General features: G+C 46.1%; 1 long non-coding RNA gene across 1 annotated transcript; it reads left to right on the forward strand.

The window, feature by feature from the left end:
- Window positions 1–5,783: 5,783 nt before the first annotated feature.
- On the forward strand, window positions 5,784–20,546 carry LOC101929819 (putative uncharacterized protein FLJ44672). The gene is made up of 12 exons (XR_007068555.1): window positions 5,784–5,870; window positions 8,168–8,364; window positions 9,209–9,273; window positions 11,946–12,145; window positions 12,373–12,430; window positions 12,524–12,756; window positions 13,530–13,720; window positions 15,782–15,839; window positions 15,933–16,165; window positions 16,951–17,141; window positions 18,780–18,976; window positions 19,354–20,546. It is a non-coding gene; the product is annotated as a putative uncharacterized protein FLJ44672 (long non-coding RNA).
- The last annotated feature ends 26 nt before the right edge of the window (window positions 20,547–20,572 follow it).

The following is a 20,572-nucleotide window of genomic DNA, read 5'->3' on the forward strand; positions in this document are numbered from 1 at the left end:
GATCTTTATAAGAGAATGAGGTAGGAGAGTCAGAATTAGAGAAAGTGATGTGGTAATGGAAGAAGAGGTCAGAGAGGGAGATTTGAAGATGCTGCACTTCTGGCCTTGAATATGGAGTCACGAGGTAAGTCAAGGAATGGAGGTGGCTTCTAGAAGCTGGAAAAGGCAAAGGAGCACATTCTGTCTAGAGCCTCCCCCAGAAGGAATGCAGCCTCTCTGACACCTTGACTTTAGCCTTGATAGACCTAGTTGGGCTTCTGGCCCCCAGAACTGTAAGATGGTAGATTTGTGGTGTTTGATGCCACTAAATGTAGGGTACTTTGTTGTAGCAACAACAAAAAATGAACATGAAGCTGGGACCTCATGTTACAGTTGCTCACGCCTGTAATCCCAGAACTTTAGGAGGCTGAGGTGGGAGGATCGCTTAAGCCCAGGAGCTTAAGACCAGCCTGGGCAACATAATGAGACCTCATGTCTAAAAAAAAATGTTTTTAAAGGCCAGGCGCAGTGGCTCACGCCTGTAATCCCAGCACTTTGGGAGGCCGAGGAGGGTGGATCACGAGGTCAGAAGTTCAAGACCAGCCTAGCCAAGATGGTGAAACCCCATCTCTACTAAAAATACAAACATTAGCCAGGTGTGGTGGTGGGTGCCTGTAATCCCAGCTACTTGGGAGGCAGAGAATCACTTGAACCCAAAAGGCAGACATTGCAGTGAGCCAAGATCGCACCCTTACACTTCAGCCTGGGCGACCGAGACTCCGTCTCAAAAAAAAAAAAGCCATGTGTTGTGGCATGCAGCTGTAGTCTCAGTTCCTAGGGTGGCTGAGGCGGGAGGATTGTTTAAGCCTGGGAGGTTGAAGTTGCTGTGAGCTGTGATTGCACCAGTGTACTCCAGCCTGGGCAATAAAGCAAGACCTTGTTTCAAAAAGAAAGAAATGAGCATGGTGGGAATGGGGACGGATGGCAGTGTTAAGTAGAGTGGTCAGGGTTGGCCTCATAAGTGAATATTGAGCAAAAGTTTGAAGCAGGTGATGGAGCTGGCCAAGGTGCTGAGGGAAGAGCATTGTAGGCTGAGTCAACAGGATAAAGGCATTAGGAGGAAACTCTCTGGTGTGTCTGAGGCTCTGGAAGGAGGCCAGTGGAGCAAAGAGATAGAGGGAGCGAAGTCAGCGAGGAGGCCAGGGAGTTGCTGGGCTGGGGTCGGTACAGATCGTGTAAGCCCTGGGACGCTATTGCTGGGGCTTTGGCTTTTACTCTGACTAAAATGGGAACCACCAAGGGCTTCTGAGCAGAGAGGCGACATGATCCGTCTCCTGATTTAAAAGCACGACCTGGCTGCCGAGTTGAGAAAGACTATGGGAAGATTTGGGTAGAAGCATGGGGGCCAAGCTGTGGCAACATCCCGGTGGGAGATGATAGTGATCCTGACGGGGTTCATGGTGGTGGTGAGAGATGGTTAGAGCCTGGATACATATTGAAGTCAGTCAGTAGGATTTCCTGACAGACTGGATGTGAGCTGTGAGAGAAGGCAGTGGTCAAGGTTGAGTTTGATTCTGATTGAATTATTAAGTAATTTTAAAAAACACTACTGCTTTTCCCAATCCTACCAAGTAAAGGATGCTAGATAAAAGAAATCCCAAGTCAGGCCAGGTACAGTGGCTCACACCTATAGTTCCAACAGTTTGAGAGGCAGAGATGGGAGTATGTTTTAAGGCCATGAGTTTGAGAGCAGCCTGGGCAACACAGCAAGACCTCCTCTCTACAAAAATAAAAAAAATAAATTTAATAAAATAAAATAAATATAGCCAGGCATGATGGTATGTACCTATGGCCCCAGTTACTCATGTGGCTGAGATGGGCAGATCTCTTGATTCTAGGAGTTTGAGGCCAGCTTGGGCAACATAGCAAGTCTTCTCTCTCTACAAAAATGAAAAAAATGCCTGACATGGTGGTACTTGCCTGTATTCCCAGGTATGGGGGCAGCTGAGGCTGGAGCATCTCTTGAGCCCAGTTGGTCAAGGTTGCAGTGAGCTATGATTATACCACTGCACTCCATCCTGGGTGACAGAGTGGGACCCTGTCTCAAAATACAAATACAAATGAAATCTCAAGTCAGACCAGTCCCTTCTAGGCTATGTAGGCCTTGTAACCACATAGCTGCATGATCGGGTTTGTGTGGCTGTGGATGAGGAGACCCCTGTCCAATTGTTGGCTATGTAATCAGTTTATTTTTCAATATAGTAATCAAATATATTTCATCATACTTGATGGTCTCAGATATGTGTGGATTTTGGAATTCCCCTTGGAACAGGTTGTAACATCTTATTGGCTCCATAATTCCATAATTTTTTTAATCTGATCAGTTTTTAATAAGATCGCAATTTATATTAGACTACTTAATCGGTTTTGTTAATGACAAAATGAAATTGTGTTGTTTGCATTTTATCCAAGATGGGTGTCATATTGGGTAAATCTCATCAATACTTGAACAAATGCAAAATTAGAGCTTCTTTATCATGAAACACGATGTAATTCTTGAAGAAGATGCCATTTCTTTTTTTTCTTTTTTTTTTTAAGATAAGAGTCTTTCTCTTGTCACCCAGGCTGGAGTGCAATGGTGCGATTTTGGCTCACTGCAACCTTCACCTTCTGGGTCCAAGCAATTCTCCTGCCTCAGCCTCCCGAGTAGCTGGGATTACAGGTGCCCGCCACCATACCCAGCTAATTTTTGTATTTTTAGTAGAGATGGGATTTCACCATATTGGCCAGGCTCCTCTGGAGCTCCTGACCTCAGGCAATCTGCCTGCCTCAGCCTCCCAAAATTCAAGGAGTACAGATGTGAACAACCACGCCCGGCCTCCATTTCTTTTTTGTAGTCTTTAATAAACAGCTGCTATCATTGCAGACTTGCTGTTTAGGCACTTAGGAATTTTTCACTAGAAGGCATGTAAATAAAGACCATGGGCAATTGTAATGAATTTCGCCTTCATTCTTTGACTACATGACTGTCCCCAGAGCTGTAACTTTATTGAATTTTTTAGAAGCCATTTAGCTAGCAACTGAGCCTAACCAGCCACTCACCGTCATTATTCAGTGCTCTTTTATTATTGTCTATTTCTCCTCCAACTTGGCTACACTCACAAAGTGATAAAAACTTGCATTTGTTTTCTTTCCTTTTCAGAGACAGCGTCTTGCTCTGTTGCTTAGGCTACAGTACAGTGACATGATCATGGTTCACTGTAGCCTCAAACTCCTGGGCTCAAGTGGTTCTCTCACTTCAGTCTCCCAAGTAGCTGGGACTACAGACATGTGCCACCATGTCCAGCTAATTTTTTATCATAGAGACGGGATCTTGCCATGTTGCTCCGACTGGGCTCAAAACTCCTGACCTCAAGTGATCCTCCTGCCTCAGCCTCCCAAAGTGCTGGGATTACAGGCAGGCATGACCACCTGTGCCCAGCCCCCTATTATTATTATTTTAAATAATAGCTTTATTAAAATATTCAAATGCCATTCACTTTATTTATTGAAATCTGCAATTCAGTAGGTTTTAGAATATTCACAGAGCTGTGCATCGATCACCACAGTCACTTTTAGAACCTTTCATTACCCTATAGAGAAATCCATACCCCTTAGCTACTACCTCCTACTCTCCCCACCTACCTTTGCCCCCAGCCTTAGGCAACCATTGATTAATTTTTTGTCACTATAGATTTGCCTAATCTGGACAAATAGAATTGTACAATATGTGATCTTTTGTGGCTTTTTTTCCCTCTTAGCACAGTGTTTTCAAAGTTCCTTTATGTCATAGTGTGTATCAATATTTCATTCCTTCTATGGCAGTATTCCATGGTAGAGACACACTGCATTTTGTTTATCTGTTCATCAGTTGGTGGATATTTGGGTTGTTTCCATGTATTCCATGTATTGGTCGTTATGAATAATGCTGCTATGAAGATTGTTGTACAAGTTTTTGTGTGGACATATATTTTTATTTTTCTGGGATATATGCCTAGGAGTGAAATTGTTGCATTATAGGATGACTGTACATTTAGCCTTTTGAGAAACTGCCAGACTGTTTTCTAACGTGGCTATACCAGTTGGGTGCAATGGCTCACACCTGTAATCCCAGCTACTCAGGAGGCTCAGCTAGGAGGATGGCTTGAGCCTGTGAATTCAAGACCAGCCTGGGCAAGATAGTGAAACCCCGTCTTGATTTTTTAAAAATCCAATTAAAATGACAAGAAAAGAAATACCCAAACAAAATGGTTACACAATTTTATGTTCCCACCAGTAATGTATGTGGGTTCCAATTCCTCCACATCTTCACTGACATTTTTTTTTTCTAGATAGGGGCTTGCTCTGTCTCTCAGGCCGCAGTGCAATGATGCCATCACAGTTCACTGCAGCCGTGACCTCCCAGGCACAAGTGATTCTCTCATCTCAGCCTCCTGGGTAGCTGAAAATTACAGGTGTACGCCACCATGCCTGGCTAATTTTTAGATTTTTCTGTAGTGGTGGGATTTTACCATGTTGCCCAGGCTGGTCTCATACTCCTGGCCTCAAGTGATCTGCCCACCTCAGCCTCCCTAAGTTCTGGAATTACAGGCTGCCACCATGCCCGGCCTTCACCAACATTTGCCATTATCTGTTTTTTTTTTCTTCCTTTATACCTTAAAGCAGTATAAGAACAAGTGTCTTCAATTATAGGAAACAGTATAATCCCAGGGCTTTGGGAGGCTAAGACAGGAAGATGTCTTGATGCCAGGAGTTTTTTTTGTTGTTGTTGTTTTTGTTTTTGTTATTGTTGTTGTTGTTTTTGACAGTCTCGCTCTGTCACCCAGGGTGGAGTGCAGTGATGGGGTCCACTGCAACCTCCACCTCCCAGGTTCAAGTGATTCTCCTGCCTCAGCCTCCCGAGTAGGTGAGACTACAGGTACACGCCACTACTGCCCAGCTAATTTTTGTATTTTTGATAGAGTCAGAGTTTCACCGTGTTGGCCAGGCTGGTCTCGAACTCCAGACTTCAGGTGATTTGCCTGCCTTAGCTTCCCAAAGTGCTGCGATTACAAGCATGAGCCACCATGCCCAGCCTGATGCCAGGAGTTTTAGACTAGCCTGGGCAACCTAGCAAGACCTTGTCTCTACAGAATATTTAAAAATTAGCCAAATGTGGTGGTGCCTGTGTATAGTCTCTCTCCCTCTCTTTTTTTTTTTTCTAACTTTTTGTGACATGGTCTGGCTCTGTCACCCAGGCTGAAGTGCAGTGGTGTGATCATGGCTCACTGCAGCCTGAAACTCCTGGGATCAAGTGATCAATCCTCCCACCTCATCCTACCAAGTAGTAGGGACCACAGGTGTATGCCACCCAGGTCTTGCTATGTTGTCCAGGCTGGTCTTGAGCTCCTGGCCTCAAGCAATCCTCTCACCTTGGCCCCCCACAGTGCAAGGATTACAGGTATGAGCCACCATGCCTGGCCCCTACCCTGCCTACTGAGAACCAAAGGAAGGATCCAAATTCTCCTTAGCTCAACTCGAGCCATTTCCTGATTGCTTCATCAGCGAGGAGCTGGTTATTGGGCTGTCCAGGCCTCCCAAGCAGCACAGAAATGAGGTGAAGGAGTTTTCCTGTTGCTCCACTCTGTAAGGAGTTGGAGGGTGATGTTTACTCATTTGCAGAGAGAGATGCCTTGTAGGCACCTCAGCATGGAGAGGGCCCTGATTCCAATGTCCTTTTTTTCTTCAGAAACAGGACCTTGCCCTGTCACTCAGGATGGAGTTCAGTGGTCCTATCATGGCTCATTATAGCCTCAAACTCCCAGGCTCAAGCAATCCTACCATGTCAGCCTTCCCAGTAGCTGGAACTACAGGTAAGCATCGTGACACTCAGTGAATTTTGTTTTTATTTTGTTGTAGAGATGGGACCTCAGTATGTTGCCATGGCTGACCTTGAACTCCTGCACTCAAGGGATTTTCCTACCCTGGCCTCCCAAAGTATTGGTATTACAGGCATGAGCCATTGTGCCCACCGTCTCTGGTTCTTAACCTTCTGCCTCCCTCTTCCAGTTTTAAAGAATGCTTGTAATTACATGGGCTCTCCTAGATACTCCAGGATAATCTTGTTTTAAGGTCAGCTGATGAGCAACATTAATTTTATCTGCACTCTTAATTCCCCCTTCCTATGTAATTGTGCTGTGTAACATAGGACATGAGCAATTGGTGGCGGTGGGGGTTATTACTTTGGCCACCACAGTAACTATTTTATGCCAGGTACTCAGCTAAGCACTGGTGAATTAAGCATGAATAACACACACTCCTTAATCTCCATCCATTCATGGGAGGAGCACTTCACCTGCCATGCTCCTGAGAATCTCGGGAGTCATAGAAGTCTTCTATGAGGAGGTGATGCCAAAGCGGACAAGTGACAGAGGAGTCAAAGCTAGCTAGGAAGAGAGTAGAGGTTTAAGGGGAAGCATATTATAAGCAGAGGATATTACCCACTTCAGAGACTCCCAGAGGAGAAAGAGTGTGCGTTCAAGGGGCAGATGAGGCTCAGTTGGACTCCATAGCAGATGTAATGGAGAGGGGCAAGCAGTGAGGCTGCCTTGCAAGGCAGGGCAGAGCAGGGGCTGTTAAGGAGTTTGGACTTAATCCCTGAGGCAAGGAGAAGTGATGTAAATGGGGGAGTAACATGATGAGATTCATAGATTAGAGACATGGCTCAGGCTGCTGTAGAGAAGGCACCAGGAAGAGCAGATGGCTCAATGTGTGTGCAGAAGACCTCTCCCTGAGTTTAGGGAGAGGTTTTTAAAACAGAAGAAGTTTGAGTAATTTAAATGATGATGGGAAGGAGCTAAAAGTGGGGGATAGGTTAAAGATACAGGAAAGTGGGAGGAAGAACTGACAAGTGAGGTTCCAGAGAGGGCAGGAGAAGAGGAGATTCCCATAGGGGGATTAACACTTTCTTTTCTTTTTTCTTTCTAAGACAGGGTCTCACTCTGTCACCCAGGCTGGAGTGCAGTGGCACAATCTTGGCTCACTGTAGTGTAGACTTCCCAGGCTCAAGGGATTTCTCCCACCCCAGACTCCCAAGTAGCTGGAACTACGGGTGTGCACCACCACCACACCTGGCTAATGTCTCTTTTTTTTGGTAGACACAGAGTCTCACTATTTAGCACTGATTGGTCTCCAACTCCTGGCCTCAAGCGATCCTCCTGCCTAGGCTTCCCAAATTGCTGGGATTACAGGCATGAGCCACAATGCCTGGCCTCTGCTAGTTCCGTATTCTCTAGAGTTGTCTTTACTTTGTGCTAGTGTGTCCCTCATTGTGCTGATCCTCTGTAAAAATTAATACCTTTTTTTTTTTTTTTGAGATGGAGTTTCACTCTTGTTGCCCAGGCTGGAGTGCAATGGTGCTATCTCGGCTCAGCGCAACCTCCACCTTCTGGGTTCAAGCAATTCTCCTGCCTCAGCCTCCCGAGTAGTTGGGATTACAGGCATGTGCCACCATGCCCAGCTAATTTTGTATTTTTAGTAGATATGGGGTTTCTCTGTGCTGGTCAGGCTGGTCTCGAACTCCTGACCTCAGGTGATCTGTCTGCCTTGGCCTCCCAAAGTGCTGGGATTACAGGCATGAGCCATTTTGCCTGGCCAAAATTAATACTTTTTATATTAAATTTACATATATATATATGTTTTTTCTTTTTGATACTGGGTCTCACACTGTCACCCAGGCTGGAGTACAGTGGCACAACCTCTGCTCACTGCAGCCTCCACCTGCCAGGCTCAAGCAATTCTCCTGCCTCAGCCTCCCGAGTAGCTGGGATTACAGGTAAGTGCCACCACACCCAGCTGATTTTTGTGTTTTTTGTAGAGACGAGGTTTCGCCATGTTTCCCAGACTGTTCTCAAACTCCTGAGCTCAAAGCAGTCCACCCACCTTGGCCTCCCAGAGTTCTGGGATTACAGGTGTGAGCCATCTTGCTCATTCTAGTTTAAACTTTTGAGTGGTTTGTGTCTCCTGATTGGACTCCTACAAATACAGAATTGATGCTAGGAAGGGTACCAGGAGATAGACGCACACAGATGGGATTTGGGAATAGGTTTGGTTATCCAAGGAGCAGTGCTGAGCTCCTTGCAATGGGATATGGGATGCTGGTGATTTCCAGGAAGTGCGCTCACAATGACTCAAGCTGCCACATACTGTTGATTGTGAAATGCCAGTTGAAGCATATGTCCTGCAAGCTTAGGGGTGCTACAAGTTGACCACTGCAGCAGTAAAGATGACTCTGAAGAATGGCGTGGGATGGTTCCTTTCAAATGCACTTGAGCAGCGGTCTCCAACCACAGGGCCACAGAGCTGGAGGTGAGCAGCAGGCGAGTGAAGGGAAACTTCATCTGTATTTCTAGCCCCTCCCATCGCTTGCATGACCACCTGAGCTCCATGTCCTGTCAGATCAGCAGCAGCATTAGATTGTCATAGGAGCACAAACTCTGTTGTGAAGTGTGCATGCGAGGGATCTAGGTTGTGTACTCCTTATGAGAATCTAATGCCTGATATTCTGTTACTGTCTCCCATCACCCCAGGTGGACAGTCTAGTTGCAGGAAAACAAGCTCAGAGATCCCACTGAGTCTACATTATAGTGAGTTGTAGAATCATTTCATTATATATTACTATGTAGTAATAATAGAAATAAAGTGCACAATATATGTAATGCACTTGAATCATCCTGAAATTATTCCCTCATTCCCAGTCTGTGGAAAAATTGTCTTCCACACATTCACTCTGTTTTTTGGTAGAGGCAGGGTCTTAATATATTGCCCAGTCTGATCTCAAACTCCTGGCCTCAAGTAATATACCTCTCTCAGCCTCCCAAAGTGCTGAGATTACAGGCATAAGCCACCACCCTCAACCAAGAGTTTCTTAAACCAAATAAAAATTAAGTGAGATTACTTGAGCCCAGGTGGTCAAGGCTGCAGTGAGCCTGATTGCACCACTGCACTCCAGCCTAGGTGACAGAATGAGACTGTCTCAAAAAATAAAATAAAATACAAATTAACCCTTTATGACATTCCCAGTAACTTCCTAAGTGCTCCCCACAAGTCTTTGAATTCTGTTTAATTTTCACATAACATTTAAGACATTTAAGAACTTATGTCTGTCTGTGTCATCCCTTTATGTCAAAAGATGTCTTTTTGTCACTTCCAGCTGGATCTACCATGAAAGACTTGTGAATCCAGGAAGAGAGACTGACTGGGCAACATGTTATTCAGGTACAAAAAGATTTGGACTGTAACTTAAAAATGATCAAATTATGTTTCCCATGCATCAGGTGCAATGGGAAGCTCTTCTGGAGAGTGAGAGAAGCTTCCAGTTAAGGTGACATTGAAGCCAAGTCCTGAAAGATGAGGAAGAGTTGTATGAGAGTGGGGAGGGAAGGGGGAGGTGGAGGGATGGGGAATGGGCCGGGATGGGATAGCGCAAACTGCCCGGGAAGGGACACCAGCACTGTACAGACCTGAACAATGAAGATGGCATATTTTGTTCAGGGAATGGTGAATTAAGTGTGGCAGGAATGCTTTGTAGACACAGTAATTTGCTTGTATGGAATTTTGCCTGAGAGACCTCATTGCAGTTTCTGATTTTTTGATGTCTTCATCCATCACTGTCCTTGTCAAATAGTTTGGAACAGGTATAATGATCACAATAACCCCAAGCATAATATTTTGTTAATTCTCACAGAATCACATGTAGGTGCCACAGTTATCCCCATTTTATGAATGGAGTGATGAAAACCTTAGGAATAATGAATGATTTGCGCAGGCTCACCTGGATATTAAGACTGAGTCAAATGTTGGGTCTGGTCTGACTTTAATGTTTGCTTTGTTCATGAGCACCACATATTGCCTCTCCTATGCAGTTAAGCAGGTAGGTGACAGAAAAGCCCATGTTTGTCTCTACTCACACACTTCCGACTGAATGTATGTATGGAGTTTCTACACCAGATTCTTCAGTGCTCTGGATATTAACTGGGTATCCCATGACTTTATTCTGACACTACCTGGAGTTAGCACAGACCCCACAAGTTAGGGGCTCAGTCCCACGAGGCCATCCTCACTTCAGATGACAATGGCAAGTCCTAAGTTGTCACCATACTTTTGACCAACCTGTTACCAATCGGGGGTTCCCGTAACTGTCTTCTTGGGTTTAATAATTTGCTAGAACAGTTTACGGAACTCAGAAAAACAGTTTATTTTCTTTTTTTCTGAGAGAGAGGGTCTTATTTTGTTGCCCAGGCTGGTGTGCAATGGTGCAGTCATAGCTCATTGCAGCCTTGATTGTCTGGGTTCCAGTGGTTCTCCCACCTCAGCCTCCCTAGTAGCTGAGACTACATGCCTGCACCACCACATCTGGCTAGTTTCTTTTATTTTTTGTATAGATGGGGTCTTGTTGTGTTGGCCAGGCTGGCCACAAATTCCTGGTCTCAAGTGATCCTCCCACCTCAGCCTCTGAAAGTGCTGGGATTACAGATGTGAGCCACCACATCTGGCCAGTTCATTTCCTATTACTGGTTCATTGTGAAGGATACATCTCAGAAACAGTCAATGAAAGAGACGTGCATGCTGGATGCAGTGGCTCATGCCTGTAATCTCAGCACTTTGGGAGGCCAAGGTGGGAGGATCGCTTAAACTCAGGAGTTTGAGACCAGCCTGGGCAACATGGTGAAAACCTGTCTCTATAAAAAATTAAAAAATAATAATAATAACTGGTGTGGTGTTGTGCACCTAGAGTTCCAACTACTAGGGAAGCTGAGATGAGAGGATACCTTGAGCTGGGGACTGGGGAGGCTTAGGTTACAGTAAGCTGAGATTGTGCCACTGCACTCCAGCTTGGACAAAAGAGCCTGATCCTGTCTCAAAAAAAAGAAAGATACCCAGGGAAAGTTAAGTTCGGAGGGGCACAGAGCTCCCATGCCCTCTGTTGAACATGCGACCCTCCCAGCATCTCCTGTGTCCAGCAACCCTGAAAGCTCCGCAAACCCCTTTCAGGGTGTTTATGGAGGCTTTATTATGCAAGCATGATTGATAAAACCTTTGGCTGTTGGTGATTAAGTCAGTCTCCAGCCCCTCTTCCCCCTGGAGTTCAGTGCATGAGGCTGAAAGTTCCAAGCCTCTTACCATGTGGTTTCATGGTAATCAGCCCTCCTCTTGAAGAAATTTAGGAGCTTGCAGTCACCCAGTCATCTCAACAACATCCCCAAATGCATTCTTACCATGCTGGAGATCCCAAAGTTCTTAGAGGCTCTTGTGTTAGAAACCTGGGACCAAGACCAAATATTAAAACAAAAGATGCTCCTGTCACATCTATCACTGAGGTCTTTGTAAGAGCTTTAGAAGCTCTGTGCCAGGAACCAGGGACAGAGATTAAATATATATTTCTTTTCTTTTTTTTGAGACAGAATCTCCCTGTGCCATCCAGGCTGGAGTGCAGTGATGTGATCATAGCTCACTATAGCTTTGGCCTTCTGAGATCAAGCAATCCTCCCATCTCAACCTCCCAAGTAGCTAGGACTACACATGCATGTCACCCATGCCCAGATCATTTTTGTAGAGTCAGAGTTTCACCGTGGTGGCCAGGTTGGCCATGTTGGCCAGATGGGGTCTTCTTTTGTTGCCCAGGCTGGCCACAAATTCCTGGGCTCAAGTGATCCTCCCACCTCGTCCTTGTAGAGATGAGATTTAGTTATGTCGTCCAGGCTGATCTCAAACTCCTGGGCTAAATCGATTGTCTCACCTCAGCCTCTCAAGTATGTTATGAAGGTTATATGTTAGGAAGGGTCCCAGGAGGTAGACCCACACAGATGGGATTTGGGCATAGGTTTGGTTTCCCAGGGGGCAGTGCTGAGCTCTTTGCCAGTGGGAAATGGGATGCTGGTGATTTCCAGGAGGTGACCTCACAGTGACTCAAGCTACCACTTACTGTTGTTTGTGACGAAATGCCAGCTGAGGCACATGCCTTGGGAGCTAAGTGGTTGCTGCCCTGGACCACTGTGAAGACTGGTGTGGGAAGGGTCGCTTTGGATGCACTTGAGCAGGGGTCCCCAACCCCTGAGCCATGGAGCCGCAAGGAGCCACACAGCAGGAGGTGAGCGGTGTCGAGTGAGGGAGTGAGGGAAGCTTCGTCTGTATTTACAGCCACTCCCCTTTGCTCACATTCCCGCCTGAGCTCCACCTTCTCAGATGAGCAGCAGCGTTAGATTCTCATAGGAGAATGCACCCTGTTGTGAACCGTGCATGTGAGGGATCGAGGTTGCGCTGTCCTTATGAGAATCTAATACCTATTGATCTGTTACTTTCTCCCATCACGCTCAGGTGGGACCATCCAGTTGCAGGAAAACAAGCTTAACACGCCCACTGATTCTACATTATGGTGAGTTCTATAATTATTTTATTATATATTACAGTGTAATAATGGAAATAAAGTGCCTAATAAATGCAAATGTGCTTACATCTTTTGGCCCAGCTCCTACCTCCCGGCAGCCTCTCCAGGCCCAGAACTTTCTCCAGTCAGCCTCTACAGACCAAGCTCATGACTCTCAATGGCCTATTTAGGCCCATACCCTACGTCACGGCAGCCTCCGCAGATGAGGCTACTGCCTCACAACAGCCTCCACAGGCACAGCTCCATCGTTACAATGGCCTCTTTAGACCCAGCTCCTGCCTCCCAGCCTTCTCTCCAGGCCCTGAACATTCTCAGTAAGTTCAGGTAGCTGGGACTGTAGGTATACATGATGATACTTGGCTAATTTTTAAATTGTTTTGTAGACACGGGGTCTCACTTTGTTGGCCAGGCTGGTGTCAAACTAATGGCCTCAAGTGACCCTTCCACCCCTGCCTCCCATCCTCGAGGCATGTGCCACCACAAGGAGCACTTGTTCAATTTTCTAAAAAAAAAATTTCTAAAGTAAGGCTGTGGGATGATGGCAGGAAGATAAAAGAAAAACAGAAGAATAAGTTAAAATGACTTATTCACGCATATTCTTTTGACAGCAAGAAGAACTTTTAGTATGTACATTCCTTACAAACAAACAAAAGGCAGATAAACAATGTTGTATAGGAACTTCAACACACACTGTACAATATTCCCACTTTGCTGACATAAGTTATGGAAATTTCATGGTTTACTTGAGTGTCGCTACCAGTATTTTGCTTCTCTGATGATTTTTATCAACTTCCTCATCTGTTAACTTCTCTCCAAGGTATGTCATGTCACGACATACTGCCGCTGCACGAACATGGCCAGTGTCTTCCTATTCAACATGTAGAATGCTTTCCTAATTTCTCTTTTTACTCTCTGTCTTTGTGTTCTGCATTTTCCTTACTTTTATTGTCAGAAACTCCAGAAAGTCAATCGTACTAATTTATCACGATTTGCTTTATTAATTTATACATTGCTTATATGGAATTTTGCCCAGCAGACCTCATTACAATTTCTAACCTGTTTTATTTTGTTTTTTTTTCTGAGACAGGGTCTCCCTCTGTTGTCCAAGGCTGGAGTGTAGTAGTGCTATCGCAGCTGACTGCAGCCTCAACCTTCCAGGCTGAAACGATCCTCCCACCTCAACCTCCCACGTGGCTGAGACTACAGGTGCTTGCCACTATGCCCAACTAACATTTGGAATTTTCGTATACGTGGATTCCAGAGGGGTGACAGCAAAACGTGAGTAAGCATGGATTTTGGTATATGCAGAGATGGGGGGCTGGAACTAATTCTGTATACTGAGGGACGACGACTGTATATGTTTTTACAATTACGCTGTGGGATACATACTGTTGCATAGCCTTGAAAATAATAATTTTTAATTGAGTGGAATAAGAATAATATTGATAAAAGTAGCAGCTGGCCAGGTGTGGTGGCTCACACTGGTAATCGCAACACTTTGGGAGGCTGAGACAGGAGGATGGCTTGAGGCCAAGAGTTTGCGATAGGCCTTGGAAATAAAGGGGGAGTCACCATCCCTACAGAAAAATACATGAATTAGCCTAGTGTGGTGGCATGTTCCTGTAGTCCCAGCTACTTGGGAGGCTGAGGTGGGAGGATCACTTGAGCCCAGGGAGGCTGAGACTGCAGTGAGTCATGATCAGGCCTCTGCACTCCAGCCTGGGTGACAGAGTGAGACCCTGTCTCAAAACAACAAAAAAGTAGCAGCTAACATCAACTGACCTTTTACCAGGTGCCTATTGATACCATAGTTTAATTTCTTATAACTGTTTCTTATTTCACTTACCAACTCTGTCTTCAGTTACTCCCAGATTTTTACTGTGTGTGTACAGATGACCTTTTGTTTAGATTGAATTGTCTCCCCAGAAGTAAGATTACTGTGAGTCATGGTGAATGGACATTCTCCTTACCCTTGATGTAAATTGACAGGGTTTTGGGTGCCTCCCAGCTATAATCTTAGCACTTTGGGAGGCTAAGAGAGGAGGATTGCTTGAGGCCAAGAGTTGGAGGAGGCAGTATGGCAGTATGGTGAGACCCTGTCTCCATTATTTTAAAAAATTGACAGGCTTTACCCGGGAAGGCTTATACACAATTTAAACACCCCTCATAGTATAAGAAGGTGCCCATTTCACTGCACCTTTGCCAGCACAGGGTATTATAATTTAGTAAGTCATTTTTTGTTTGATTATTTTACATAGACAAAAGAACTCATATTACTTTACTTGTCACATTTCAACATCTTTCCTCAGCTTATTAGCTCTATTTCTTTTCTGTCTGTAAATGGTTGTTGTTGTTTTGTTCTTTGAGACAGGGTCTTGCTCTGTCACCAGGCTGGACTGTAGTGGCATAATCATGCCTCACTGCAGCCTTGACCTCCCAGGCTCAAACTTCCGCATTCCGAGTAGCTGGGACTACAAGTGTGCACTACCACCACCAGCTAACTTTTTTCTTCTTTTGGATAGAGACAGGGTCTCACTCTGTTGTCCAGACCGGTCTCTAGCTCCTGGCCTTAAGCAATCCTCCTGCATTAGCTTCTCAAATTGCTGGAATTTCAGGCCTGAGCCACCATGCCTGGCCTGGGCTAGTCCTATATTCTCTAGAGTTCTCTTTACTTTGTGCTAGCCAATCTCTCATTATGCTGTTCACCTGTTATAATGAATAATTCTCTGTATTAAATTTTACCACTTTAAACTTTTGAGTGGTTTATGCTTCCTGATTGGACTCTGACTAATATGTTAGGAAGGGTCCCAGGAGGTAAACCCACACAGATGGGATTTGGGCATAGGTTTGGTTTCCCAGGGGGCAGTGCTGAGCTCTTTGCCAGTGGGAAATGGGATGCTGGTGATTTCCAGTAGGTGACCTCACAGTGACTCAAGCTACCACTTACTGTTGATTGTGACGAAATGCCAGCTGAGGCACATGCCTTGGGAGCTAAGTGGTTGCTGCCCTGGACCACTGTGAAGACTGGTGTGGGAAGGGTCGCTTTGGATGCACTTGAGCAGGGGTCCCCAACCCCTGAGCCATGGAGCCGCAAGGAGCCACACAGCAGGAGGTGAGCGGTGTCGAGTGAGGGAGTGAGGGAAGCTTCGTCTGTATTTACAGCCACTCCCCTTTGCTCACATTCCCGCCTGAGCTCCACCTTCTCAGATGAGCAGCAGCGTTAGATTCTCATAGGAGAACGCACCCTGTTGTGAACCGTGCATGTGAGGGATCGAGGTTGCGCTGTCCTTATGAGAATCTAATACCTATTGATCTGTCACTTTCTCCCATCACGCTCAGGTGGGACCATCCAGTTGCAGGAAAACAAGCTTAACACGCCCACTGATTCTACATTATGGTGAGTTCTATAATTATTTTATTATATATTACAGTGTAATAATGGAAATAAAGTGCCTAATAAATGCAAATGTGCTTACATCTTTTGGCCCAGCTCCTACCTCCCGGCAGCCTCTCCAGGCCCAGAACTTTCTCCAGTCAGCCTCTACAGACCAAGCTCATGACTCTCAATGGCCTATTTAGGCCCATACCCTACGTCACGGCAGCCTCCGCAGATGAGGCTACTGCCTCACAACAGCCTCCACAGGCACAGCTCCATCGTTACAATGGCCTCTTTAGACCCAGCTCCTGCCTCCCAGCCTTCTCTCCAGGCTCTGAACTTTCTCAGTAAGTTCAGGTAGCTGGGACTGTAGGTATATATGACGATACTTGGCTAATTTTTAAATTGTTTTGTAGACACGGGGTCTCACTTTGTTGGCCAGGCTGGTGTCAAACTAATGGCCTCAAGTGACCCTTCCACCCCTGCCTCCCATCCTCGAGGTATGTGCCACCACAGGGAGCACTTGTTCAATTTTCTAAAAAAGAAATTTCTAAAGTAAGGCTGTGGGATGATGGCAGGAAGATAAAAGAAAAACAGAAGAATAAGTTAAAATGACTTATTCACACATATTCTTTTGACAGCAAGAAGAACTTTTAGTATATACATTCCTTAAAAACAAACAAAAGGCAGATAAACAATGTTGTATAGGAACTTCAACACACACTGTACAATATTCCCACTTTGCTGACATAAGTTATGGAAATTTCATGGTTTACTTGAGTGTCGCTACCAGTATTTTGCTTCTCTGATGATTTTTATCAACTTCCTCATCTGTTAACTTCTCTCCAAGGTATGTCATGTCACGACATACTGCCGCTGCACGAACATGGCCAGTGTCTTCCTATTCAACATGTAGAATGCTTTCCTAATTTCTCTTTTTACTCTCTGTCTTTGTGTTCTGCATTTTCCTTACTTTTATTGTCAGAAACTCCAGAAAGTCAATCGTACTAATTTATCACGATTTGCTTTATTAATTTATACATTGCTTATATGGAATTTTGCCCAGCAGACCTCATCACAGTTTCTAACCTGTTTTATTTTTTATTTATTTATTTTTTTTGTTCTGAGACAGGGTCTCCCTCTGTTGTCCAAGGCTGGAGTGTAGTAGTGCTATCGCAGCTGACTGCAGCCTCAACCTTCCAGGCTGAAGTGATCCTCCCACCTCAGCCTCCCACGTGGCTGAGACTACAGGTGCTTGCCACTATGCCCAACTAACATTTGGAATTTTCGTATACGTGGATTCTAGAGGGGTGACAGCGAAACGTGAGGTAAGCATGGATTTTGGTATATGCAGAGATGGGGGGCTGGAACTAATTCTGTATACTGAGGGATGACGACTGTGTATGTTTTTACAATTACGCTGTAGGATACATACTGTTGCATAGCCTTGAAAATAATAATTTTTAATTGAGTGGAATAAGAATAATATTGATAAAAGTAGCAGCTGGCCAGGTGTGGTGGCTCACACTGGTAATCGCAACACTTTGGGAGGCTGAGGCAGGAGGATGGCTTGAGGCCAAGAGTTTGCGATAGGCCTTGGAAACAAAGGGGGAGTCACCATCCCTACAGAAAAATACATGAATTAGCCTAGTGTGGTGGCATGTTCCTGTAGTCCCAGCTACTTGGGAGGCTGAGGTGGGAGGATCACTTGAGCCCAGGGAGGCTGAGACTGCAGTGAGTCATGATCAGGCCTCTGCACTCCAGCCTGGGTGACAGAGTGAGACCCTGTCTCAAAACAACAAAAAAGTGGCAGCTAACATCAACTGACCTTTTACCAGGTGCCTATTGATACCATAGTTTAATTTCTTATAAGTGTTTCTTATTTCACTTACCAACTCTGTCTTCAGTTACTCCCAGATTTTTACTGTGTGTGTACAGATGACCTGTTGCTTAGATTGAATTGTCTCCCCAGAAGTAAGATTACTGTGAGTCATGGTGAATGGACATTCTCCTTACCCTTGATGTAAATTGACAGGGTTTTGGGTGCCTCCCAGCTATAATCTTAGCACTTTGGGAGGCTAAGAGAGGAGGATTGCTTGAGGCCAAGAGTTGGAGGAGGCAGTATGGCAGTATGGTGAGACCCTGTCTCCATTATTTTAAAAAATTGACAGGCTTTACCCTGGAAGGCTTATACACAATTTAACCACCCCTCATAGTATAAGAAAGTGCCCATTTCACTGCACCTTTGCCAGCACAGGGTATTATAATTTCGTAAGCCATTTTTTGTTTGATTATTTTAAATAGACAAAAGACCTCATATTACTTTACTTGTCACATTTCAACATCTTTCCTCAGCTTATTAGCTCTATTTCTTTTCTGTCTGTAAATGGTTGTTGTGGTTTTGTTCTTTGAGACAGGGTCTTGCTCTGTCACCAGGCTGGACTGTAGTGGCATAATCATGCCTCACTGCAGCCTTGACCTCCCAGGCTCAAACTTCCGCATTCCGAGTAGCTGGGACTACAAGTGTGCACCACCACCCCCAGCTAACTTTTTTCTTCTTTTGGATAGAGACAGGGTCTCACTGTGTCGTCCAGAGCGGTCTCTAGCTCCTGGCCTTAAGCAATCCTCCTGCATTAGCTTCTGTAATGGCTGGAATTTCAGGCATGAGCCACCATGCCTGGCCTGGGCTAGTCCCATATTCTCTAGAGTTCTCTTTACTCTGTGCTAGCCAATCTCTCATTATGCTGTTCACCTGTTATAATGAATAATTCTCTGTATTAAATTTTACCACTTTAAACTTTTGAGTGGTTTATGCTTCCTGATTGGACTCTGACTAATATGTTAGGAAGGGTCCCAGGAGGTAAACCCACACAGATGGGATTTGGGCATAGGTTTGGTTTCCCAGGGGGCAGTGCTGAGCTCTTTGCCAGTGGGAAATGGGGTGCTGGTGATTTCCAATAGGTGACCTCACAGTGACTCAAGCTACCACTTACTGTTGATTGTGACGAAATGCCAGCTGAGGCACATGCCTTGGGAGCTAAGTGGTTGCTGCCCTTGACCACTGTGAAGACTGGTGTGGGAAGGGTCGCTTTGGATGCACTTGAGCAGGGGTCCCCAACCCCTGAGCCATGGAGCCGCAAGGAGCCACACAGCAGGAGGTGAGCGGTGTCGAGTGAGGGAGTGAGGGAAGCTTCGTCTGTATTTACAGCCACTCCCCTTTGCTCACATTCCCGCCTGAGCTCCACCTTCTCAGATGAGCAGCAGCATTAGATGCTCATAGGAGAACGCACCCTGTTGTGAACCGTGCATGTGAGGGATCGAGGTTGCGCTGTCCTTATGAGAATCTAATACCTATTGATCTGTCACTTTCTCCCATCACGCTCAGGTGGGACCATCCAGTTGCAGGAAAAAAGCTTAACATGCCCACTAATTCTACATTATGGTGAGTTCTATAATTATTTTATTATATATTACAGTGTAATAATGGAAATAAAGTGCCTAATAAATGCAAATGTGCTTACATCTTTTGGCCCAGCTCCTACCTCCCGGCAGCCTCTCCAGGCCCAGAACTTTCTCCAGTCAGCCTCTACAGACCAAGCTCATGACTCACAATGGCCTATTTAGGCCCATACCCTACGTCACGGCAGCCTCCGCAGATGAGGCTACTGCCTCACAACAGCCTCCACAGGCACAGCTCCATCGTTACAATGGCCTCTTTAGACCCAGCTCCTGCCTCCCAGCCTTCTCTCCAGGCCCTGAACTTTCTCAAGTCGACCTCACCAGGCCCAGCTCATGCATCTTGGTGGCCCCTCCAGGCCCAGCCTCTGCCTCCTGTCAGCCTCTACAGTCCCAACGTCTGCCTCACAGCAGATTCTTCACGCCCAGCATCTACCTCACTGTGGACCCCCCAAGCCAAGCTCCCAACCTTTCAGCAGCTTCTACACACCCAGCTCCTGCCACCCAGTGGCCTCTTTAGGCCAAGCTCATGCTTCACAAGGGCCTTTCCAGGCCCAACTTTTGTCTCATGGCAACCTTCCCTGGCCAGATTCCTGCCTGTCTCCCAGCAGCCTAGACAGGCCCAGGTCTTGCCTCACACTGGCCTCTCTACATCCAGCTTATGCCTCACGGTGGCCTCTCCACGCCCAACTCCTGTCCCAGGACGTCATCTCCGGGCCCAAAACTTACTCAAGTCAGACTCTCTAGTCCCAACTGCTGCCTCCTGGTGGCCTATGAAGGCCCAAAATCTCCTCAAGTTGACCTGTCCAGGCCCAGCTCCTGCCTCCTGTCAGCGTCTACAGGCCCAACCTCTGCCTCATGGGGGCTTCTCCAGGCCCACCTCTTCCTCTTGGCTGGGTCTACAGGCACAACTGCTGCCTCACAACAGCCTTTTTTGGCCCAGTTCCTGTCCAGCTCATGGCGGCCAATGTAGGCCCAAAACTTCCTCAAGTCAAACTCTCCAGGCCCACCTTCTGCTTCCCGGTGGCATCAACAGGCCCAGCTTTGACTTGAGAACAGCCTCTGCAGGCCCTGCTCTTGCCTCCCAGGGGCTTTTTCCAGGCCCAGCTCTTGCCTCATGGCAGCTGCCCCAGGCCAAATTTCTGCCTGCCTGCCAGCAGCCTCAACAGGCACAGCTCCTCCCTCACAGTGGCCCATTTAGGCCCAACTCATGACTGTGAGGCCATTTCCAGGCCTAGTGCCTGCCTCGTGGCTGACTCTTGAAGCCCAAAACTTCCTCAAATCAGCCTTTTGCCCAA

The sequence above is a fragment of the Homo sapiens genome, unplaced genomic scaffold (genome assembly GCF_000001405.40).
Source record: "Homo sapiens unplaced genomic scaffold, GRCh38.p14 Primary Assembly HSCHRUN_RANDOM_CTG22".
In the NCBI taxonomy this organism is placed as follows: Eukaryota; Metazoa; Chordata; class Mammalia; order Primates; family Hominidae; genus Homo; species Homo sapiens.